Here is a 25,629-nt window from a genome sequence, read left to right on the forward strand (position 1 = left end):
TTTTTTCAACATGGTGAAGGCTTGGCTCCATTGTCTTCTAGTTTCCAATTACCATTGAGAAATCCAGTGCTGTTCTGATTTCTGATCTTCTGTAAATGGCTTGCTTTCTTTGCCTGCCTGTCTGCCTGTCTGCCTGCCTGCCTGCCTGCCTTCCTTCCTTCCTTCCTTTCTTCCTTCCTTTCTTTCTTTCTTCCTATTATTATTATTATTATTGCAGAAACCTGTAAACTCTTTGATTTTCTCTCAGAGTCTCAGTATTTCATGATGCTAGGCCTTGGTGCAGGTCTATTTTCAGCCAGCATGCTAAGCACTCAGGGGACCTTTTCAACCTGCAAACTCATGTTTTGAGTTTGGGGAAATTTTCTAAACTATTTTCTTATTTCCTCCTCTCTATTTTCTTTTTCCTTTTTGTAATTCCTTTTATGCATACAGAATATCCTGGATTTGTCTTCCAATTTTCTCTACTTTTCTGTCTTCAGTCCCATCTATTTATGTTTCTGTCCTAGTTTCTGAGAGATTTCCTCAACTTCATCTCCTAATCCTTCCACTGAGTTTTTAATTTCCATTACCATGTTTTATAAGAATTCTTTTTTTGTTCGCTGAGATTTTATTTTTTAGCAATCTTTCCTTTTTTCATGATTGTAATTTCTCTTTTTTCCTGAAGATATTAGGATTATGTTTTTTGTTTTGCCCTGAATTTTGTTTCTTCTCCCTTTTTAGTCTCGGTTTTCATCCAGGCTGCCTTTTTCTCTTTGTAGTCTACATGTTCTATACTGGAGGTTTTCCTCAGATTTTTGGAAATCTTCATTTGTCTGCTCAACTAAGGCTTGAGTGGGAGACTAGAAAACTGATTAGAGGCCAGGTGTGGTGGTTCACACCTATAATCCCAGCATATTTGGAGGCCGAGGTAGGAGGACTGTTGGAGCCCAGGAGTTCGAGACCAGCCTGGGCAATACTAGTGAGACCCCATCCCTACAAAAAAAATTAAAATTAGCCAAGTGCAGTGACACACCTGTAGTCCCAGCTACTCAGAGGCTCAGATGGCTTGAGCCTGGGTGGTTGAGGCTGCAGTGAGCTGTTATTGCACCATTGTACTCCAGCCTGGGCAACAGAGCAAGACTCTGTCTTAAAAAAAAAAAAAAAAAAAAAAAAATCCCTGACTGGAAACTTAAGCACTTGAGCAGAGCTTGTTGACCAGCAAGCTATTGAGCTGGTCAGACTCCCTATAGGAGATGCTTCCAGTTTCTTGCTTGGAGGAGAAAGGCCTGGCTGTCAGCCTTCTGGGACATCTGGCAGGAACAGGTGTCTTAGCATCTAGTATATACATATTTACTTCCTCTCTTTCTTTTACCTCAATTGCTTCTGGTGTCCCTGGGTCCACACATCCTGTTCTGTGTTTTCCGCAGGGAGAAAAAAAATAAAATCCTCCAGTCTTCTGTTGGAATGGGGAGAGGTTTTTGCCTGGCTATATATTTCTTTGCTTTTCCCAGTGGTAGCTCAGGATTTTCCTCTCAAGTTTGCTAAATTGATTACTACCTGTTCATATGCCTTTCAGACTCCTAAATTTTGTCTCTCTTAGCTTCTTCCAATCTTCTCCCCTCTTTATAGGTTTATGTCCTTTTTTAACCCTTTATTGTAGTGTAGAGGGTTGAGCGTGTCTGCAAAATTAGATGAGATGTGTTTCATCTGCCTCTGTTTCTTCGTCTACAGATTAAGAGAGGCCCAGAGAACTGCTCAGCGAAGATTCTAAGGTTTGCAGCATAACTTAATAGCAAAAGTGGAGCTAAGACCTACAATTCCTGACTCCTTGTTCAGGGCAGCCTCTTTCAAAATAGACAAAATCATTAATAATGAGTTAATCCAAAATCAGTATGTTTCTGATTGTGTGTGGACAAGTTGAAAAGGCTATTTTTCAAAGAGTTCTTTGTATCTTAGCTTTGATTGGTATCTCATCATGAGACAGTAAATCAGGAAATGAGGACTTCCCAATGCCAACATGCCCCATAGACAAGCCCCACATGAGAGAGGACTAGCGAAAAATGTTGATACGACAGCAGTGGCTGTGCTGTTATACTGCTCCAAGTAACTGGAGTTGCACCAGATCTCCTCTACATGTGGGAACAAACAGGGTTGCAGTCAAATACCCAAATTTCACTGGCTCTTGCCCCATCTGCTGGGGGGCAGGTCCATGGTCAAGTGCTGTCCAAGTAGATCTGTAAGTCCCCAGAGGTGTCTCCTTGGTGCTCACAAACAAGTCCAAACAAGATGCTAGAAAGGATGGAAAAGATGGAAAATCATTGCCCTTGAGAGACTATAATATTTGTATAAATAGTCACAATAGAAAGCAAATGGTATTCAATGAAAAATCTACACAAAGTGAGTTAGGCAGACAGAGTTAGGAAAAATGACTTGCCTGGAGCTGTGTATGATGCCTGCAGTAAAGGAAGAGTGCTACAGGGTGAAAACTGCACATCCCTGATCATATTGCTCATTGTCCTTGGCATAAGTGCTCAGAAAATGTTTCATAATTATCCACATGCAACATTTGAGATGCCCATGCTTGACTGAACCAAGAAGGCATTCCAAAAGTGACAATGTTGCTTCATAAAGGGTTTAATTTCAGGAAGATGTACATTGATCACTTTTATTTGTGTTTGTAACAATAATTAGTACATCTGACTTTTCAAGTGCAAACAGATGTGTTGAACTCATCAGCCCAGGCACTGTGAGAGAGAGCAGAGCTCCCCAGTTTGCTCTTGTCATTTGTCCCGTGTGTCATTCTGTGGTTAAGACAGATTTAAAATTCATTTCCTGGCCTCCCGTGACATAGAAACAGTTCTTAATAAACAAGGGACTCCCACATAAAGCCCTCTCAGTGCGATCTCTGGAAAAGTGGGGAACTGGATATTTTTGTTTAAGAATACACAGCTCTCAGATGTAACCAGAGCATGGCACTTCTTTGCCAAAACAGGAAGGTGGGTCACCTGAGAGCTGGCCTCGGGTTAAAATAATTACATGAGTTCTGGGGAGTGGTGAGAGCTTCATATTTTTATAGCACTTTTATAGTAATATTTATGTAGTATTTTACTGTATCCATATGGAAGATATTTTGTATCCAATGAGTTATGACTACCATTAATTCATGCACATTCTTTTTACATTTTTGTTTATAATAATCCTAAGAACTATGTCTTTGATGTGTACTGTATGCAATGTAGTCAGCCAAGAGCTTTACAGATATTATTTTATTTAATGCACCCATCAACCCTCTACGGTAAGCACCAGTGGAGCTGACAAAAGGGACTTGCTTAGAAACATTAATGTCAGGCTCATAGAAAAATCAATTATTGCCAAGGTCATTGTGTACCCAAACCTAAGACCATATAAAAAACATAATAACTTGACCCATAAGATGAACTTCTAGATAAAATGAAACTTTTTTCCCTAAAATCTATAATTCTTCAACCATTATGAATGTACTCTCAAATGCATCGTTTGAAACATTCCTATAGGCCGGGCAAGGTGGCTCATGCCTGTAATCCCAGCATTTTGGAAGGCTGAGGCAGGAGGATCACTTGAGCCCAGGAGTTCAAGACCAGTCTAGTCAACATGGGAAAACCCCATCTCTAGAAAAATACAAAAATTGGCTGGGCATGATGGCAAGTGCCTGTATTCCCAGCTACTCAGGAAGCTGAGGCAGGAGAATCACTTGAACCCCGGAGGCAGAGGTTGCATCAGCCAAAATCGTGCCACTGCACTCCAGCCTGGGCGACTGAGGAGACTCTGTCTCAGAAAAAAAAAGAAAGAAAAATTTCTATGTTTGGATCTCATGAAATGTGCCTGTAGTTAATCAGGAAGTGGCCCCATTACTGACAAGAAAGAACACGAGTTAAATAGCAAATAGTTCTGTCAGTAGAATCATATGATGTGATTTGGGCTAAGATCAGTATTTTTTGCATATTCATATGTTGCTAGAGAATGTATGATATCTTATAAATCTCATCACTTTCCATTGACAAGCAGCATTGAGTCCAAGTTTTACTTAGAAGTGCATTCAGCCAAGTAACAGGTAAGTATGGCTTAAACTAGAACTTTTCAACGTGTATGGTGAGGCCCATTGATGAGCCACAAAGAGATGTGCAGAGAGATATGTATCCCCTCAGGCTTCAAGGTAGGGAGGAGTCCTGGGGCAGCTGAAGCCCCCAGCATAGTTCACCTCAGGTGCCAGCAGTCTCCTCTGTGTTCCCCAGAGGGCAGTACAAATATTACCGCCCACTGTGATTGTCATGACACAAAAAAGATGAAGAAGCAATGGCTTGAGATAGAATAAAGGATATTTGTCATTTACTTAAAGTCCAGGTATATGCAGTCTAGGGTGGGTACAGCTGCACAGTGACACTCTTATGTATCCAGGTTCTTTCCATCTTTCTGCTCTGCCATGCTTCACTCTGGTTTTTGCTTTTCTTGTTTGTGGCCTCATAGTTACAAGATGGCTGCCATAGCTTCAGACATCACGTCCTCTCTCCAGGGACTTCTGCAGGAAGGAAATAGAAAAAGAAAAAAAAAAAGGTGGGGAGGGAGAAATTCCTCATTGCAAGGCTTTTTATGGGGGAGGTTGCCCAGTTGTGCCCCCAGCAGCATCCTCTCAGCAGCTCATGGCCAGAAGTGGATCGCATGACTCTAGCTGCAAAGGAGGCTGGGAAGAGGCCTACCTCCCCTGAGACTACTTCAGAGGAGAGAAAGATATCTTTTTTTCACCCATCACTAGGTTCATGCCTATAACCCTTATAAAAGAAGACATATTAACAAGAGAAAGGCATACAAATGCATTTAATGTTTTATACGACAGAGGAGCTTTCAGAAATGAAGACCCAAAAAAACAGGCAAACCTGTGTAGTTTTATGCTAGAGTTGATGAAGAAGTGGAAAGTAAGATTGGCTGAAGGGGGTATGATCTAATGGTAAAAGACTGGTGAAACTTAGCAAGGCTTCTTTGTTTAGATTGGTCACCATGTCCCTGTGTCTTCAGAGATAAGTATATTTCCTTCCTCCAGTTATAGGGAGGGCACCTCTTAAGTGGGGTCTTACAGCCTACTACAGAGGCAGGCCAGAGGATTCTTTTATTGCCTGCTTCAGGGAAGAAGGGTGAGAGAAGGTCAGAGAGTGACCTTCCTAGGTTTATTACCTGTTTTCTTTTCTTTTTTTTTTTTCTCTTTAGACAAGGTCTGGCTCTGTTGCCCAGGCTGGAGTGCAGTGGTGCAATCTCAGCTCACTGCATCCTCTGCCTCCTGGCTCAAGCGATTCTCCCACCTCAGCCTCCTGAGTAGCTGGGACTACAGGCATGCACCACCATGCCCGGCTAATTTTTGTGTTTTTTGTAGAGACTGGATCTCACCATGTTGCCCAGGCTGGTCTTGAACTCATGAGTTCAAGCGATCCACCCGCCTTGGCCTCCCAAAGTGCTGGGATTACAGGCACGAGCCATCACAACTGGCCAAGGAGCTGTTTTCTCAAATGCTAAGTTGCCATATAATGGGTAGAATATCCTGAATCCCATCACTACAGATCTCCACCTACTACCTAAAATCAAAACCTAGGGTTCTGTTAGCAAAGACAGGACACTATGGCTTTTGTACAGGCACCAGTGATTGTGCCAAACACAGACTGTAAGGGAAAAGCCAGAATGATTTTTTTTAATGAAACATATTTTCTGCTTCTTAAGTAATTGTTTAGACTCTTTAAAATACCACCCACCAGATCATTTACCCCTCAAACTAAAAGCCTGTTCTGGAAATGGATTTGAAACAGAGCATCCTACGGACAAGAGAGCGGTTTGTGCAAATCTTAGAGAAATTTTTCTCAGTATTCATTTTTATTGAGACATCCAAGCAGCATTCATGATTTTGTAGCTCTTGAGTTATAAACTAGATATAATTCTTTGCTTTTTTTCTCCTATTCAATCGCATACTTAGACATTAATATTTTTAATTATTTTTTAAATTAGATGGGCTCTGTGGAATGTTGCATGAGATGCCTCAAGAATCAGGCCACAGTGTTGGAAAGTTATCATAATGCAAACGTCTCACACCACAAATTTTAAAAGGTTAATTTTTTTTGGTTCAAGCAGTATTAACTTTGGATATTTAGAAGGATTTTTTTCACATTTCCTCAGAATTGGTGACAGAGAAAAGTATTTTATGGTATTGCAAATATTATATCAGAAATGTATGGCACTGAGAGGAGAAACTAAGTATAATCGTCACCTTTGATCAATTTATAATTTTTAGAAAGTTGGTTCATAGTACTCCCAATATTGACGTGTAGGAAAGAAAGAATAAGAAAGAAAGAAACCACCATTTCCTTGATAACTTGAAAAATCATAGATTTGAATGACAGAAATAATTGTGAACCAAGTTCCAGTCTATAATGAGGAATAAACTTTTTCTGCTTTGTGAATTCATTTTCTGATTATGAAAATTATACAGGAACTTTATGATAGAGGAAATTTGGAAAAGACAATGGTTATTCTTAATTCCACTACCTTAATACAATCATTAATGCCTCTGTAAACCCCATCAGACATTTTCAGATGTGTGTCATTCATTATATGATTGTAATCACAGTGTGATTGCCATTTTACATTATACATATTTCTATGGAACAAAATACTATATTCTCTTCATATTTCTTTTCATATTTTTCTAGGTTTTATTTTTATGAAAGTCAAATAGTTCTTCCAGGACTATTATTAAAACCACCAACCCCATTCCATTCCCCACCCCTATTTCCTCCTCACCAAAGGCAACCACCTTTTTCATCTGATTTTTTTAGTTATTTCTCTCAACAAAATACTTGAGTTGCTATTTCCAGTTTTTTTGTTCTCACTTTGGAAGAGGATGATATAGCTCCCTTTTATCACCCCACCTTCACAGTAACCCTTCTCATCCTCTCTATTCTCCAAGTAGAGTTGCATCATAATTCCTATTAGATTGTAATTTACCTTATGTCATAAACATATTCGCAACTGTGCCCTGTTGTAAAGTTTCATTATATTTCCTTATACTTTTCCCCAAAATGATGTTCCATTCTGTTTTCTTTAGTTGTCTACATATTTATTAATAATTGAATCTCAAACTCTTTAAAATGTCTAATTGGTTCAGACGCGTCGGATATTTCAGCAGAGTTACTCAACTGAATAATCTCTCCCCAGAGTCTTCTGACCTTGTCTAGTCTGCTAAGTTTGGTGCACAGATGTTATCCTGGGAACTTCTTTCACCTTTGTTCTGGGAATTCACTTTGTCTCTAAAGTTGGCTCCACTGCTTCATAGTGTTTATATTTCCCTCTTCTTGGTTTAGTCCTTTGTTTCTGCAGAGCACATCCCCCAGTATCTTTTTGAGAAAAGGACTCATGGGAAGTTAATTTTTTGAGATCTTGCAAGTCTGAAAATGTCTTTATGCTAACGTCACTCATAAGAAATAGTTTAGCAAAGTATAGAATTTTATTTCAGAAGTGGTTTTCAAAGGCATTATTCCATTGTCTTCAGGCTCCCTAAGTTGCTGTTCAGAAGTTCAGATTTATCCGTTTCCTGATCATCTGCATGTTATCTATTTTCTCCCCATCTCTGAAAGTTTAAAGATGTCTTTTTCTTAATTGTCTTGGAGTTGGTCTTATTTTCATCTGTAGTAAAGCATTGTATTCAGTGGACCTTTTCAATCTGCATACTCAAGTCTTTCAGGTCTAGAAAATTTTCTTTTTTCCTTTTTGGTCTTTTTTTCTTAGGTCTAGGAAATTTTCTTGATGATTTCATTGCCTCTGTTTTTTCTTTTCTCTGTGTATCTCCTCATTTGAAAATTGAAGCCGCTAGACTAGTCTTCTACGTTTCTGTTGTTTTTTCTCTGTCTCCCATCTGTTTGTCTTTTTACTCTATTTTTTGTGGGATTTCCTCAAATTTTCATACAGCCCTCTAATTCAATCAATTCTACTGTTACGTTTTTACTTTCCAGGACCTCTTCTTGTCCTGATAATTTCTTCCTTTAGTATCCCGTTCTTTTATTTCATAGTTGCTGTAACTTATCTGAGGAAGTAAATAATAGTTGGGGTCTAAGGGTTTTTTGGCATTTTCTAATCCCTGCATAATCTTAGGTTATTCTAGTTAGCTTTTTTCGATATTTTCGATCTCTTTTACAATAGTAGCTTCTCTCAGATTTCTCATAATCGTTGGTTGTCTGTTCGTACTTAAAAGCGTGTCACCGGCCGGGCGCGGTGGCTCACGCCTGTAATCCCAGCACTTTGGGAGGCCGAGGCGGGTGGATCATGAGGTCAGGAGATCGAGACCATCCTGGCTAACAAGGTGAAACCCCGTCTCTACTAAAAATACAAAATATTAGCCGGGCGCGGTGGCGGGCGCCTGTAGTCCCAGCTACTCGGGAGGCTGAGGCAGGAGAATGGCGTGAACCCGGGAAGCGGAGCTTGCAGTGAGCCGAGATTGCGCCACTGCAGTCCGCAGTCCGGCCTGGGCGACAGAGCGAGACTCCGTCTCAAAAAAAAAAAAAAAAAGCGTGTCACCACAAATCTATCAAGACAGAAAGTAAGTTAGCAGTTACCTAGTGCTGGGGATTTTGGGGAAATGGAGTAACTATTAATGAGCACAATTTTCTTCTCGAGGTGATGAAAATATTCTAAAATTGGTTATGGTGATAGTTGCACAACTCTGAATATACCAAAAGCCATTGAATAATATACTTTAAAGCAACTAATTATATGGTATACATATGATATATCAATAAAACTATTTCAAACAAGAAGTGGGGCACTAACAAAATGATTAAAAGTTCAAAGTGCGTGGCTGGGGCTTGTCATCTGTGGGTTTCACTGTAGGGCGATTTGGCTGGGCTGTGTAGTTGGGGAAACCTGGTATTTGTCTTTCTTCTTGGGTTGATTAGATCCCCAGAAAAGGCTCTACCAATCTTTCCAGCCTGGATGATAAAGGCTGGCTGTCAGCTTGATGGAAGCCGAGTTGGGGAAGAGACCGTCTCTGAATCTGGCAGGCTAGTACCCTCCTTATCTCCTTATTTTCAGTTGGTCCCTTATCCTTGTGCTGTGACTAATGATCCCCAATCTAGAGACCTTCTGTTCCACCCACTCCGGAGAATAAACCTCCATTCTTAAAATAGGGTTGAGAAAAGGCAGTTGCATGTTGGTAGAAGTTTTGGGAGATGATTTACCTGCTGCTTAACCAGACTTTCAACCACAGATACTTAACTTAGCTGCCTCCTCTTACCCCGACACATGCTATTTCATGGATTCCCAATGCTTCTAATTCTTCAGCCTTTTGAGAGTTTTGTGAATCAAGTGTGTTCTAGGCTTTTCCCTCATTTTTATGAGTTTTTAGAAAAGAAGCAAAGTGGGAAGCATGTGTTCACACCATTTTTACCTGAACAGAAATACATATTTTGCTCTCTCCAATTATTCAAGGTCATTACAGTATGAACTATCAAGATCATTTTTTTAATTTAAAATACTGATTTGGGAAAAAAAAGACATTAAATAAACATTTCCTTGTACACAGAATACTCCTGTTTTGTGTAAAATCAAAAGATTTGAGCACATTTATCCCCTAACTAAAGGCAGAAATGTTATTTTTCATATGCAAGTAGAAAAATCAATCCTCTCTGAATTCAGAGAACTGGTTAAATGCATTCAAAATCATAAGACTTATGATTAGCTGTTTTAAGATGAATAGGTAAAGTAAGCTTCTGGCCAAGTCATGAAGCATTTCTTTCCCTTTGCAAATGATTTAAAGTCCTCAAATTCTGACTGCCTCATAAAGAACAGATAGATTTTATTGTTGTTACTTGCTGTAGAAAAATTAGAGGTTTACTAATTGCTTTACCTACTCTTCTCACATGGTTCTTTGATTTTAAGGGAGTCATTCAGTCCATCTAGACTGAATTTGGAACTCAGAGAATTAAAATTATGGGCAGGGGGACAGTGGCCAAGCTTACTATTCTTTATGATACTTGATCTTGCAGCTGACTTAATTCCTGTTTTCATTTCTGGTCCCTAGAGCTGCACCGATATTCATTTCATATTTCTTAAAGGTTTATCAGGTAAATAAGAGAGAGAACCATTCATAGTTAACAGCACAATTGTCATATATATTGACAACTTCAAGGCAATTCTAAATTGTCTCCTTCTCTAATGAAAACATTTCAATATGACAAAAACCTTGATCCAAATTCTGCTTGTTAATTACCATGATTTCTAAGATCTCCAGTCTCTAAAACCTTATGATTCTGTTTCTTTCTCAACTTAAAATGCCACCCTTCTTTTACTTTTGAAAAGAACCTTTATCTCATTGCATCGATGAAAGAAACTTATATTTGATTTAGATTATTACTCATAATAACTTGACCTTTCCAAAGCATCACAGCCATTCAGAACAAGCTACATTTGCAGCATCTCAAATAAAATTGTGAGGACTAATGTGCAAAAATTATTAACAGGTTCAAGATGGCAACATCAGAGCATTAAACTAAGCAAGCAGTCCTGTGTGTGGCTCACACCTGTAATCCCAGCACTTTGCGAGGCCGAGGCAGACTGATCTCTTGAGTCCGGAAGTTCAAGACCAGCCTGGGCAATATGGTGAAACCCCATCTCTACTAAAAATACAAACATTAGCTGGGCGTGGTGGTGCATGCCTGTAACCCCAGCTACTCGAGAGGCTGAGGCAGGAGAATCACTTGAACCCAGGAGGTGGAGGTTGCAGTGAGCTGAGATTATGCCATTGCACTCCATCCTGGGTGACAGAGCAAGACTCTGTCTCAGAAAAAAAAAAAAACAAAACCTAAGAAAGGAACCATTCTAAGCCCAGGAATCCATGCAGTTGCATAGGTCACATGACCCTGTAGTCAGCCCTGAAATTATCTGTAGAAGGAAGACACGTTTGATGTCCCTGCCAATGATAATTTGCTTTGGTTCAGCTGTTACGGTGACTAACACTTCCCCAGATCAGGGACCTTTACAATGGTAGTGGGGGCATTCATTATACAGTCATTGCCTGAAATTCCACATTTCAGGTATATCCTGAGTTAAATCACACAGCTATTACACTTTAGACAATAGATCCTTCAACCGTGGGTGGTCAGTATTGGGTGGTGGTGACTTCAGGTGCTTTCTTCCTGCTCTGACAGTAGCTTTCAATGGGTCAAATTCTTCAAGCCAAATTAAATGAAAGCTTGAGTTCTGATCCACAGAGAAAAAGAACTTGAATAAATATATATCTCCTATTTCTAAGCTCCCGACGTTTTGTAAAGCTACTTAATTTTCCCCCATCTCACTTGTTTTTCAGCTCAATCCATCTGAGCACCTGTTATTCATATCAGAAGGAAATGAAATCAATAGCATTTTCTTCCCCAGTGGCAGTCTTTAAACTTCCTTCTCTTTTGCCAGTAAGTCATCATTCTTCTTTAAGACTGCTGTTGTATCCAGGCATGTCCAAGATTTCCTTATTTGTTTTGAACTTTGAACCTGATAGACACTTAGAAATTCACGTGGTTCCACCCTCACCCATAGAGCATGTTATACTATCACAGTGGACTGAAATGTTTCTTAAGGGTTTATAAAAGGATGATTATGATGCCATTAAGAGAAGTAAAGGCCCCTAAGGGAAGTAAAGAGCTAATATTTATTCATCATGAGTAAACATCCGATCTTAGCTATCTCAGAACAGGACATGTATTAATACATTGAACTTTGAATAAATTGGCATCTCACTTCTGTGGTTGCCTTGCTGTGAAGGGTACTCTCCTGGGTCTGCCACAAAATAAGCAGAATCCGACCCAGGCTGACCTGACTCCCCATATAGCCCAGGAAGCTGATGAGCCTGGCATGTCAGCTCAGGCTGAGAATTCTTCTCCCCAAGAAAGCAGAATCAAAACCCATGCATGGAAGTTACAAAGAAAGGATTGTTCTATATAAGGAAGAGTTTAATAATGTGGTTAAAGAAGAAATAGGCTACCCTGAAAATGCTAAGCCTCTCACTGTAGCTGAGCAGCCATCTGGGAAGACTACCGTAGAGGGGAGAGAAATAGCACAGAGCTTTTTAAACTAGAATGCCTGTAGGTTTCCTTGTAAACGCTGCAATTCTGGAATTCTCTTAGCTCCCAAGAGGAGGTTGATTGATCACAATAAATACAGAGCCTGATAGACGGAAAAATAAGCCTGTTATATGTGTACAAACCTTCTCTCCCTTTCCTTATGAGCAAAGTGAAACCAGACCTGCAGGCATGTGGCCTTATGTAGGCCTGAGCCTTAAGCTGCCACCATTTGGCAGGATGTGCATCCTTTGAGGAAATTGTAAGGTTATATGGCCATGGTTTTCAGCTTGGACAGGTAACCTAGCATAGAAGCTTTCGAATTAGAATGCCACTCTGCTGTTGACCAGCTACACTACTTTACCTCCCTGCACCTTAATCACCTCATCTACAAATAATATCGACTTCACAAGATTATTGTGAGGATGAGATAAGAAAATATATATGACTAGTACAATGAATAGAATATATATAAGATACATATTCTATGACTCAATTAGTTCTGTGATTTAATTTGAAAGTCTAAGGTGAAGATGGGGGCAGAGGGTGTCCCTGGAAAGGCTAACGTTCTAATAGAGTTTAACTCACCATTGCCACTTCTGATGGATAGTCTAGTTCTGCAAGACCAAGCCTTTCTGCCTGAACTCTAGTACCTCAATCACAGGCTGGGAATGACTTAAGGAAACGAAGCCAGTTCCAAACGCTAACACACAGCTGTCATACAGATTTTGTCCCACAAATGAACAATGATATAAATGTAGTCAATCTTAAACTTCTGAATTAACTGTAAAGTGATACAAGAGCTTTGTGTTTAAGGATGAGAAGGTTCAGCCTAGTTCTTCAGTGGTTCCATACTTAAACCATCCAAAAATACAGGTATGTATCCTTATCTATTGAAAAGAAGAAAAGGCAGCGGGGCGCAGCGGTTCACACCTGCAATCCCAGCGCTTTGGGAGGCCAAGGCAGGTGGATCACCTGAGGTCAGGGGTTCGAGACCAGCCTGGCCAACATGATGAAACTCCGTGTCTACTAAAAATACAAAAATTCGCCAGGCATGATGCATACCTGGCACATACCTGTAATACCAGCTATTCAGGAGGCTGAAGCAGGAGAATCGCTTGAACCCAGGAGGCGGAAGTTGTAGTGAGCTGAGATTGTGCCACTGCACTCCAACCTGGGTGACAGAGTGAGACTCCATCTCAAAAAAAAAAAAAAAAAAAGCTATTTGTATTCAAAAAACAAAACAGTGGGGGTGTGTCAGAGGGCACAGGAGCTGACTGAAAGAGCTCTCAATAGCTAAAATTGGAACAATTTGAGCAATAAAATAACACAGTTTTGAGTTATAACCCAAAGAATAAATATCCAAGAGGCCATACTAATATTAATATATGATTGAATAAATAAATAAATGGAGGAGAGGAGACAAAATTCCCATACAGAAGAATTCCAAATACTGTATGTAGCTACTCCACCCTGAAGGAAGTGGAACACAACACCCCATCCCTTAAGCGTTGGCCACACTTAGTGGCTTGCTTCCAAAAAGTACAGCATGGAAAGGGAGGTGGGGGTACCTTTGCAGTAGAGAAGCCTGGTAAACACTACCTCAGCCAGGTAATCAAGGTAAACATTATCAATGATAAGTCATGTTAATAGTGCATAACCTTGACTTAATATGGTACTTGACCTCTGTGATCTTCCTTCCAAAAACTTACAAATACCGTGTCTAACCATGAGAAAAACATCAAGCAACCCAAATCATGTGGGACATTCTGCAGTATACCTGATGAGTACTCTTCAGAACTGTCAAGGTCATCAAAAACAAGAAGTCTAAAAAACCATCACAGTCTATGAGAGCCTAAGGAGATGTGACACCTAAATGTCACATGGTATCCAGAGTGGGACTCTGGAACGGAAAAAGGCATTAAGGAAAATGAACAAAATCTGGATATAGTATGGAGGTTAGTTATAAACAAAAAGGCATGGGTGCTTCCTCTTTCAAAATGACATTACAGAAACCTGTACCACAATCATGCATTATAGTAACACTTTGTTATAATGTAAATGTTGGGGGATTGTGTTCTAAAACTGTCTCTTGAGGCTTTACTTGAAATGATGGGAAACTCAGTATACAGCTGTATGCAGAGAAGATGAATAAGTAATCTGTCAAATATTAATACCATGGGTCTTTTTGCAGCTGGGTTTAACTATGATTGATTTATTATGCAGATCACATTTTCACCTGCCATAGAATCCCAATCCATATAAGGTTGAATATGTACAATTTTGAATTTTATAGTTCAAATGTCCCAGTTTCCAGAATTTGGGGTTGGGTAAAAGTTGTTTTTCATGCATATGTGCCATTTTTGGATACCTGTGGTAGTTGTTTCAACCTATGAATGAATCAAGGGCACTGTGGGAATAAACTACTTCCCCACATATTGTAGCTGGACTTTTTTGTGGGGACCTTTATGCAACCTAATAAATGATCTCTCATAACAGATTGTAGTTCCTTGATGCTCCAACTGAGGAGTTTTCTAGAGCTTCCTTCCTTGGGTGAGAATAGTAGGTGAAGGTCATTGCTATAGACAAACAGAACTCCATCAGGCTGGGTCCTCAAATATTTTGGCATATGTAACAACTCTGTGGAAATAATAGGTATCAGATAGAGTTCTCTGCTTACAAGCAAGAGAAACTGAAGTAGCAAAGGAAATCATGAGGAAGCTAAGAATTAGTTCACATAATCTAAAGAAAAACCTCAACTACCAAGCCAAGGGAAGAATATGAAATACAGCAGCTCAGAGGATTCAACCATTCATTGAGTAATATTTATCGAGCCTCTACCCTCTCCCAGACACTGCTACAGGGTGAGAATCCAGCAGTTCAGGGAATCTGTCACGCCATGCTTTCATCAAGCTTGCTTCTAGACAATCTCAGACTCAGGGACAGCATCTTCTAGAAGACATTCTCTTCCTCTGGGAAGCCTGAGACTCATGGACATACTGGTGTTATTACTTAGCTCCTACCACTTGACATTCTTCATCACACTGCCCAAGGTTCAGATTTCTCTGAGAGTATGATGAGCCTACATTGATGAGTCAAAGGCTCACCCCCATGGGGGTGAGGTGCTCTGATGTGCATTCCCAACAGGACTACACAGAATACCAGAAGGATTGCTCCCCAAAACCCAGTGAGCTGCTCTTACCAACAGAAGAAAGGAGTGCTGAGTGGGCAAAAAGTTCACTATAATTTGTATTAATAGTGTGAAGAAAGAAAAGAGAAGACTCAGATCTGGCTCAGAATTCTGATTAAAGCTATTTATGTTAGTATAACCTTGGGCATGCTTCCACAATTTCTCTAAAAGTCCCTTTCCTCATCTATATAAAGTGGAATCATAATCCCCATACCATAGAATCGTTTTGATGTTTAAATCAAGGATCAAACTAGCTATTTAAGGACCTGTTCTGGGGCCAGGCATGGTGGCTCACACCTGTAATCCCCGCATTTTGGGAGGCCGAGGCAGGTGGATCACTTGAGGTCAGGAGTTCGAGACCAACCTTGCCAACATGGCAAAACCCTGTCTCTACTAAAAATACAAAAATTAGCCAGGTGTGGTGGTGCATGCCTGTAATCCCAGCTACTCGGGAGGCTGAGGCAGGAGAATCGTTTCAATCTGGAGGCAGAGGTTGCAGTGAACCGTAATCAGCCTGAGTGAGAGAGCAAGACTCTGTCTCAAAAAAAAAAAAAAAAACCTGTTCTAATAACTGCTTAATAAAAATTAGTTGTATTTTCACACAGTTGTGAAACATAGTATCTACAGATTATTTTCCATGCATTTCTAGCACATGATATTTCAATACATTCTGCTCTTTTTTTTATCTTAGCATGAAAATACTTGTAGGGTGGACAGTGTGTTAGGATCCTTGTTTATATATATATATATATATTTTTTTTTTGCATGTGTTGACTATAAAGTTTTGCTTAGTAAATGTCACATCAGCCACTTCAAAAGAGGCATCCTATCTCAGCTCCCAGTTATGTCTCATGAAAGACTTTAAGAGTGAAATCTCCAAGCACTGAACCTCTCCAAGATTCTCTACTGGATTTCACTCTGCCTGTCTTGCCTGTGTCATGCTGGGGGTTTTATTTGTAGAGGGAGGCATTGTAAGGGAGGTTATATATTTACTATCCAGACAAACCTGGGTTGGAAACCTGTGTCTTTGGGCACAGTGCGTAGCTTCTGAGGGCCTCATGTGCTTCATGTGTGCAACTGGGATGTTAATACCTACCCTGATGGGTTGTTAAAACTGTAAATGAGGCCGGGCGCGGTGGCTCATGCCTGTAATCCCAGCACTTTGGGAGGCCGAGGAGGGCAGATCACGAGGCCAGGAGATCGAGACCATCCTGGCTAACACAGTGAAACCCCGTCTCTACTAAAAACACAAAAAATTAGCCGGGCATGGTGGCGGGCACCTGTAGTCCCGGCTACTCGGGAGGCTGAGGCAGGAGAATGGCGTGAACCCAGGAGCCGGGGCTTGCAGTGAGCCGAGATCACGCCACTGCACTCCAGCCTGGGCAACAGAGCGAGACTCCACCTCAAAAAAAAAAAAAAAAAAAAAACTGTAAATGAGATAATGTATGTGGCAGGCTCAGAGCCTCAATCAAGGGAAGCTATTACTATTATTAGGGGTGCTGATTGTGTCATCATTTGATCGCAGGCACAGTATGCTTGGAAATGTAGAATTTTTTATTCAACAGTACTAGGGGAAGAAAAAAAAACACAGACTCAGATTTTTAAAACAAGACTTTGCCATTTATAAGAAATTGCTAGAAGGCAGAAGAAAAATGCTCACCAGCCCAGAGTCTAGGACCACCCATTTTCTTAATAGGTCAACATTGTGAGATATCTTCTGTACCTGAGCACATCCTCCCACCCGAGGCCCTTCCGGGAATTGCTTTATGATCTACCGGAAAGAGAGCCCTGTTCTCATAAGTAAACAAACTTCAGTGGGGAAGACTGATAATAAACATTGAAGAAAGGTCAAATATACATTTGGAAACAAGGGGAATCAGTGTTTGTTCAGAAGAACAAAAGAGAATGTGACTTTAGAAAATCCGTAAAAGGGTCTTAATGGCTGTTCAAGTGAGTAACATTGAGGACATATTTGTTGAATTTCTAATTCATAGGACATGAAATTTTTTTAGTTGTGGAGGTTGGATTTTTTCATTAAAAAAATAGCCCTTACTTACCCCAACACCCTTACTTTAGAAATTGGAAAACCAGGGTGCATAGAAGTGACATTACTTACTTAACATCACACAGATAGGTAGTAGCAGAATCAAGACCAGAATCTAGTTCCTCAACTCTGAATCCAGTGACTTTTCCATTGACATGTTCTTAAATGTTATAAAGGATGATGGTAACTTTCTAAAATCATTGACTGATAAAATCTAAAATTGTTTAAAGGAGCATGTGTTTTTCCTTAAATTGCTTCTCACTGAAACTCTGTGCCATCCAGAATTATAGCTAGGGTTAATTACATGTTGTCAAGACCAGGCACTACGCCAAGTCTTTTAGATGCGTATTCATTGTGTACTTGTAACAGGATTGGCCTAAGCTTTGATGATTACCACTAGGGTTTGGTTGTTCCTGGCAATTAGTAGGAAATTGTCCTACCCAAGCAATATGCATGCAGTCATCTGAGATAATCTTTCCCACAATATGTGGAAAAGTGTTGGTAAGGCAGAGTAGGTTGTGAATACCAAGATGGATGGAACTTTTGTTCACCCAACTGTGAACTTTATTCCCTCACTATATATCGTATTCCATACACGATGGTGTGTACCCTTTTTCAGGTTTCCATTTTTAGAATTGAAGAAAATGGGCTGTTGCTTTCAAAAATCATGTTCATTTAAATTGTGTTTTTACTCTCTGTTAAGAAATCACATATAAACATATGGATTTGAGCACCCCCTGCGATTTTTCTGGGGTCCCACCAGGATCTGTGGCTGCCTAACTGATATCCACCTCTCCAGCATGTTGCCAGCAGCCACAGTGACTCCAATGGAAGCAGCAACTTCAAAATATTATGCTAAAATTGGCTCCTAATGTTTTCCTCTTGCCTTCATGCAGTAGCATGCCAGAGCCCACATCTTCTTGCTTGCTAGAGTCAAATTTTGCAAGCCAGTTGTTAAGAACAGCGATTTTTATTATTTATGTATTTATTTATTGATTTATTTATTTTATTATACTTTAAGTTCTGGGATACGTATGCAGAACGTGCAGGTTTGTTACATAGGTATACATGTGCCATGGTGGTTTGCTGCACCCCTCAACCCGTCATCTCCATTAGGTAATTCTCCTAATGATAGAGTGCCCCCCACTCCCCGACAGGCCCCAGTGTATGATGTTCCCTTCCCTGTGCCCATATGTTCTCATTATTCAATTCCCACTTACGAGTGAGAACATGCAGTGTTTGGTTTTCTGTTCTTGTGTTAGTTTGCTGAGAATGATGGCTTCCAGCTTCATCAATGTCCCTGCAAAGGACATAAACTCACTCTTTTTTGTGGCTACATAGTATTCCATGGTGTATATGTACCACATTTTCTTTATCTAGTCTATCATTGATGGGCATTTCGGTTGGTTCCAATTATTTGCTATTGTGAATAGTGCTGCAATAAACATACTTGTGCGTGTGTCTTTATAGTAGAATCGTTTATAATCCTTATGGTATATACCCAGTAATGGGATTTCTGGGTCAAATGGTATTTCTAGTTCTAGATCCTTGAGGAACTGCCACACTCTCTTCCACAATGGTTGAACTAGTTTACAGTCCCACCAGCAGTGTAAAAGCATTCCTATTTCTCCACATCCTCTCCAGCATCTGTTGTTTCCTGACATTTTAATGATCGCCATTCTAACTGGCGTGAGATGGTATCTCATTGTGGTTTTGATTTGCATTTCTCTAATGACGTGATGATGAGCTTTTTTTCATGTTTGTTGGCTGCATAAATGTCTTCTTTTGAAAAGTGTCTGTTCATATCCTTTGCCCACTTTTTGATGGGGTTGTTTTTTCTTGTAAATTTGTTTAAGTTCCTTGTAGATTCTGGATATTAGCCCTTTGTTAGATGGATAGATTGCAAAAATTTTCTTCCATTCTGTAGGTTGCCTGTTCACTCTGATGATAGTTTCTTTTGCTATGCAGGAGCTCTTTAGTTTAATTAGATCTCATTTGTCAGTTTTGGCTTTTGTTGCCATTGCTTTTGGTGTTTTAGTCATTAAGTCTTTGCCCATGTCTATGTCCTGAATGGTAATGCCTAGGTTTTCTTCTAGGGTTTTTATTGTTTTAGGTCTTATGTTTAAATCTTTAGTCCATCTTGAGTTAATTTTTGTATAAGGTGTAAGGAAGGGGTCCAGTTTCAGTTTTCTGCATATGGCTAGCCAGTTTTCCCAACACCATTTATTAAATAGGGAATCCTTTCTTCATTGCTTGTTTTTGTCAGGTTTGTCAAAGATCAGATGGTTGTAGATGTGTGGTGTTGTTTCTGAGGCCTCTGTTCTGTTCCATTGGTGTATATATCTGTTTTTGTACCAGTACCATGAAGAACAGCCATTTGATTGTTAATAATGGGCGATCGAGGCGGGTGGATCACCTGAGGTCAGGAGTTCAAGACCAGCCCGGCTAACGTGGTAAAACCCCGTCTCTACAAAAAATACAAAAATTAGCTGGGTGTGGTGGTGTGTGCCTGTAGTCCCAGTTACTTGGGAGCGTAAGGCAGGAGAATCACTTGAACCTGGGAGGCAGAGGTTGTAGTGAGCTAAGATCATACCACTACACTCCATCCTGAGCGACAGAGCAAGCAAGACTTTGTCTGAAAAAATAAAAATATAAGTATAAAAACTTTATGTACATACATATGTGCACATGGGTTTTTTTCCTAAATGCTGGTTGTTAAGCCTTTACTTGTACACAACTCCTTCTGAGCCAGTCAAGTCTATAACATGTGTTTCTTTATATAATTATCTTCAACAATAATACTAATAACTAAAATGTATTGAACACAAGGGACAGATTTTATAACAGTCAGCCTCACTGAATTCTCCCAAATGCTCCAGGGACCAGGAGACAATGAGGAGGGTAAATTCAGGCACCTCCAGCATGAGCAAGGACATCTAATAGGTGCCTTCCGAAGGCAAGCAGATGGTAGACACTTGCACATGTTATTATTTACATCAACCCTGTTGTAAATAACGAGAGTGATTTTTATCACTGTGATAGGGATAAAGAACAAGCTCAGAAAGATAAAGTGACTGCCCAAGCAAGCCCCAGCTAAGTAATGCTGGTTAGAAGGGGAGACCACAAGGCAAGAACTAAAGCCTTCCAGTGCCTGCTCCCGCAACAGCTCAGACGTAATACAACAACCTCATCTGTTGCAGTGAACTCCAGCCTGGGCGACAGAGCGAGACTCCATCTCAAAATAATAAAATAAAATAAAACAAACACATTAACAAGAAAAAAAAATCTAAGGAGAGGCTGTAGATATGTAGATACATCAATGATAAATATTTTGAGAGCATTTTTAGTAATAGCCATTAAGAAATTTTATGTAAATAGGATTTAGATATACCTATGAAAGATAGACATTATCCAAAATAACTAAAGCTTAAATGGGACTCTGAAAATGGATAATTTAGACTTTTTAAGAGGAGGTCAAAAACATAGGAAAAGGGTATATAGTTTCAGTGACAGCTTGTAAACATTAATATTTGTATTTACAAATGGCTAAGCACATTAATACATAACAAGAAGTCAGGTCTATAAACAGTGTAAAATTATGGGGAGCGTATTTGTGGTTCTTAACCAAGGGCCTAATCATTTATTAGTTTACATATATGTGCTTTCTGGAAGGTAGGATTTATTCAGTGTGATGTGGTAAATGGTTACATATCTGACCTAAGGGTGGAATTCAGAGCTCCTGAACACCAGCCAGGCCCCAGCCTCCTAAGCCAGAATGCTAACCCCTACAGACAGTCTAAACACTAGCACCAAGCCAGGAGGCACAGGCAGGGCCTTCAGCAGTGCCCTTTGACCCATATGTTACTCAACAATTTTTTTCGGGGTAGGGGAGACAGGGTCTCACACTGTCACCCAAGCTGGAGCACAGTGGCCTGATCTTGGCTCACTGCAACCTTCACCTCCCGGGCTCAAGCGATCCTCCCACCTCAGCTTCCCAAGTAGCTGGAACTACAGGCGTGTGCCACCATGCCTGGCTAATTTTTTGTAGAAATGGGGTTCCACCCTGTTGCCCAGGCTGGTTTCAAACTCCTGGACTCAAGAAATCCTCCCATCTCGGCCTCCCAAAGTGCTGGGATTACAGGTGTGAGTCACCACACCCAGCCTTCCTCTTCATTCTTGCTAAGATGGATCATTCTGGTCCTCAGTCATTCTTAGAAGCATACTATGCCATTTCTAGACTGCACATCTCACTGCTTTACCATTTCTCTAAGCCAGCATTTCTTAAAGTATAGGCTCTAGAATCACCTGCTTCAGAAACAAGTTGTTTAAAATGCAGCTTCCTGTTGTCAATTCTAATGCACATTAAAGCTTGAGAACCACTATTTAAGCAATTGGAGTGTTACTAATGTCAGATTCTAACACGCCTAGCCTTGATCCTTAACTTATAGGAAGGGTTTGGGTATATAAAAGAACCACTGCCAGAGATTACTAAAGCTGTACCATGATTTAGAAACCAGAACAAGTATGTCTATCCCTAAACTGCTTACGTTCCTAGTGACTCAGGACAGGTGTCGACCTGTATAGCAGAGACCAGTAGCTTCTGTGACATTTTCTGATTAGTCAGATCAGAACTTGTAATTCGTTTGGTGTCAGCCTAGCCACGAATGAGAGAACTTTCCTGTCATTCTGCACCTCTTTGAAGCTAGCAAGGACAGAAAGTCAATTCTGCTTATGATTTTCCAATAGCTCTGAACAGTTATAATTACAGTGTACATCTGTGAGAGCGAAGCTGCTTTTCTAATCTGTTTTCATATTATTTTTTCAGCAGCTTCTGCAGACCTAATAGTAATTTGGGTTTTGACTGAAGGATACCACTTACATGCTGAGGGTGCTCATTTCAACCCTGTGTGTTTTTAGCACATTGACATGGTGACAACCTGAGTAGAGTCTGAAAGCTAAGGCACAAACACTATCTAGCAATTCCTGGTCACTAATAAAGGTTTAAAAAATGTTTGTTGGATTTTACTGAAGAAGGGCCTTGCTTTTTGTTCTGGGTTTTTGTTTGTTAGGTTGGCTGGTTTTGAGACAGTTTTGCTGTGTCACCCAGGCTGGAGTGCAGTGGCACGATCACAGCTCGCTGCAGCCTCAGCCTTGTGAACTCAAGCAGCCCTCCCACCCCAGCCTCCCAAGTGGCTGGGACTATAGGTGTGTGCCAGCATGCCCAGCTAATGTTTATATTTTTTGTAGAGACAGGGTTTCGCCATTTTCCCCAGGCTGGTCTCAAACTCCTGGACTCAAATAATCTACCTGCCTTAGCCTCCCAAAGTGCTGGGATTACAGGCATGAGCCACTGCACCCAGCCACGTCTTACTTTTTAAAGACAGAAAATGTAGTGTTTAGCAAGAAATATGAATTGTACTTTTTTTCAGTTGCCTAAAATATAAACTTCCTAAAAGTTAAGGTGTTTATTTATGAATGCATGTCAGTGAGAAGTTCTTTTTTCCCAAGGTGGTGTTATGGAGGGAAAGTCAGTGAGTCAGCCTATTTGCCGAGGCCAGCTTGTCCTTCAGGCATTTATACCACCAGTATTAGTTTGCTAAGCTGCCCTTACAAAGTACCATGAACTGGATGGCTTAAACAACAGAAATTTGTCTCACCGTTCTGGAGGCCAGGAGTTTGAAATCCAGGTATCAGCAGGGTTTTCCCTCTGAGGTTGTGAAGAAGAATCTGTTCCATACCTCTCTGCTAGCTTCTGGTGGTGTGCTGGCCGTCTTTGACATTCCTTGGCTTGTAAATCTCTGCCTTTATCTTCCATGGAGCTTTCCTTGTGTATTTGTGTCTCTATGTCCAAACTTCCCCTTTTTATAAGAACACCAGTCATACCGAAGTAGGACACACCCTATTCCACTATGACCTCATCTTAACTAATTATGTCTGCAACAAACTCATTCCCAAATAGGGTCACATTCTGAGGTACTGGGGGCTAGGACTTAAACATATGAATTTTAGGGAGATGCAATTCAACCCATAACAACATGGCTCTGAATAAAGCTTTGTTTTTCTGAGTAATTTTTGTTTGTTTGAATCTGACAGCAGCAAGTATAGAGATTGCAGAGTATCTGGCAGCAAACCACTATCCATGGGAATTATGCCATTGAGGTGTAGTACAGAGAAATAATAGTGCTTAGGCCAGGAATTGTTTCCTGTTCACTGTGTCTTAAACCTTTATTGGTTCCATTAGCTTACACAGCAAAAGGCATTTCCAATTCAGCATATTTTATTTCCAGTATGCCACTCTGATCTCAAACTTTAGTTAGAGAAGACCAACTAAGGCTAAGAATCAAAACTTTTGGAAGCTAGCAAGACCTGATCAAATCCAAACTCCTGATTTTTACAGAGAAGGGAACTGTGGAGTACAGGAAAATTCAATGTCTTACCCAAATACAGTACTCACAGCTACTTAGTGCCATGTTGCTACCACAACCCCACTACCCTGCCTCTTGCTGTAGCTCCTTCTTTCACATATTGTACTGCTCCTCTGAGCCACAGGGGCCATCGGTGCCCTATGACAGTGGTCCCCAACCCTTTTGGCACCAGGGACCAGTTTTGTGGAAGACAATTTTTCCATGGATTGGACGGCAGAGTAGGGATGGTTTCAGAATGAAACTGTTCTGCCTCAGATCATCAGGCATTAGATTCTCATGAGAAACACAAAACCTAGATCCCTCTCATGAGCAGTTCACAATGGAGTTCATGCTCCTTTGAGAATCTAATGCCACCACTGATTACTGCCTAAGGCAGAGCTTAGGCAGTAATGCTCACTCACCCACCACTCACCTCCTGCTGTGCGGCCTGGTTCCTAGCGGGCCACAGACCAGTAACAGTCTATGGCCTGGGGGTTGGGGACCCCTGCCCTATGATTCAAAAGGTCCCAATTCCTGTTGCCTTCATGGTGCTTTTCTCTAGCTAGAGAACACAGTCAACCCTGTTTTCAATGTGTGCTGTCTACCTGGGAATGTTTCATGGATGGCCCATACTGCCATTTTTTAAATCTACCTAAGCCTCACCTCTGGGATCTACCTAAATATATTCTCTCTTAATTCCATGGATATGAGCTCTAGGAAGGGAACTAATTATAATGTTAGACTCTGCCACATATGAACAGTAAAACACATTGTCCTAGAGAGCAGAAGCCATCCAGTATTGTGAAGCTTAATAGAAATTACTTTGATGGGCCTAGCATGGTGGCTCACGGCTGTAATCCCAGCACTTTGGGAGGCCAAGGCGAGCAGATCACCTGAGGTTGGGAGTTGGAGACTAGCCTGGCCAACCTGGGGAAATCCCATCTCTACTAAAAATATAAAAAATTAGCCAGGTGTGGTGGTGCTTGCCTGTAATCCCAGCTACCTGGGAGGCTGAGGCACAAACATCGCTTGAACCCGGGAGGCAGAGGTTGCAGTGAGCTGAGATTGGGCTACTGCACTCCAGCCTGGGTGATAGAGCAAGACTTTGTCTCAAAAAAAGAAAGAGAAATTACTTTGATGGTGAAGGTTTTTATTTTGGTTTGCTGTTGTTGTTGTCTTGGATGTTATTTTGGTGGCGTATTTTTTTGCATTTATATATTTCATAATCATATAATTATTGGCTTCTTTTTTTTTTTTTTTTCGAGACGGAGTCTCGCTCTGTTGTCCAGGCTGGGGTACAGTGGCATGGTCTCGGCTCACTGGAACCTCTGCCTCCCAGGTTGAAGCGATTCTCCTGCCTCAGCCTCCCGAGTAGCTGGGATTACAGGTGTGTACCACCACACCCAGCTAATTTTTTGTATTTTTAGTAGAGATGTGGTTTCACCCCAGGCTGGTCTCGAACTCCTGACCTTGTGATCCACCCACCTTGGCCTCCCAAAGTGCTGGGATTACAGGCGTGAGCCACCGCGCCTGGCCTATTGGCTTCTTTTTAACATTTATTATTAATATATATCTCCTCAACTTTTGGGGGTTTTTAGGGTTTTTCCCCAGCTTTATTGAGGTATACTTAACAAATAAAAATTATATATATTTAAGGTGATACATTGTAAAATGATTACCACATCAAGCCAATTAACATATCTATCACCTCACGTGGTTATATCTTTTGTGTGGTGAGAACCCTTAAGATCAACTCTTCTAGCAAATCTCAAGTACACAATACGTGATTATTAACTATGGTCACCACACTGTGCCTCAGATCTCCAGAACTTCCTCATCTGGCATACATTTTGGCCAACACCTCCTCACTTCCTCTTCTTTCCACCAGTAACTATC

At 40.6% G+C, this 25,629-nt stretch overlaps 1 protein-coding gene and 1 long non-coding RNA gene across 15 annotated transcripts in view, besides 2 other annotated features; one reads left to right on the forward strand and one right to left on the reverse strand.

The window, feature by feature from the left end:
* PIP5K1B (phosphatidylinositol-4-phosphate 5-kinase type 1 beta) overlaps positions 1-25,629 on the forward strand; it is a 303,937-nt gene that overhangs the window by 247,438 nt on the left and 30,870 nt on the right. The gene's annotated exons all lie outside the window — the stretch shown is intronic.
* Positions 411-23,164, reverse strand: LOC101927069 (uncharacterized). Its single transcript, NR_110647.1, has 3 exons — positions 22,987-23,164; positions 4,349-4,534; positions 411-2,268 (listed from the first exon to the last, which is right to left on the reverse strand). It is a non-coding gene; the product is annotated as an uncharacterized LOC101927069 (long non-coding RNA).
* Positions 13,824-13,913: an enhancer, noted in NCBI's record as "active region_28443". NCBI's record gives its function as "activates an Ori minimal core promoter by ATAC-STARR-seq in GM12878 lymphoblastoid cells {active_cell/tissue: GM12878}" and the evidence as "EXISTENCE:reporter gene assay evidence [ECO:0000049][PMID:35858748]".
* Positions 16,956-17,250: an enhancer, noted in NCBI's record as "tiled region #10428; HepG2 Activating DNase matched - State 5:Enh". NCBI's record gives its function as "activates a minimal TATA promoter and a strong SV40 promoter by Sharpr-MPRA in HepG2 cells {active_cell/tissue: HepG2}" and the evidence as "EXISTENCE:reporter gene assay evidence [ECO:0000049][PMID:27701403]".

Source organism: Homo sapiens, chromosome 9 (genome assembly GCF_000001405.40).
Source record: "Homo sapiens chromosome 9, GRCh38.p14 Primary Assembly".
NCBI lineage: Eukaryota > Metazoa > Chordata > Mammalia > Primates > Hominidae > Homo > Homo sapiens.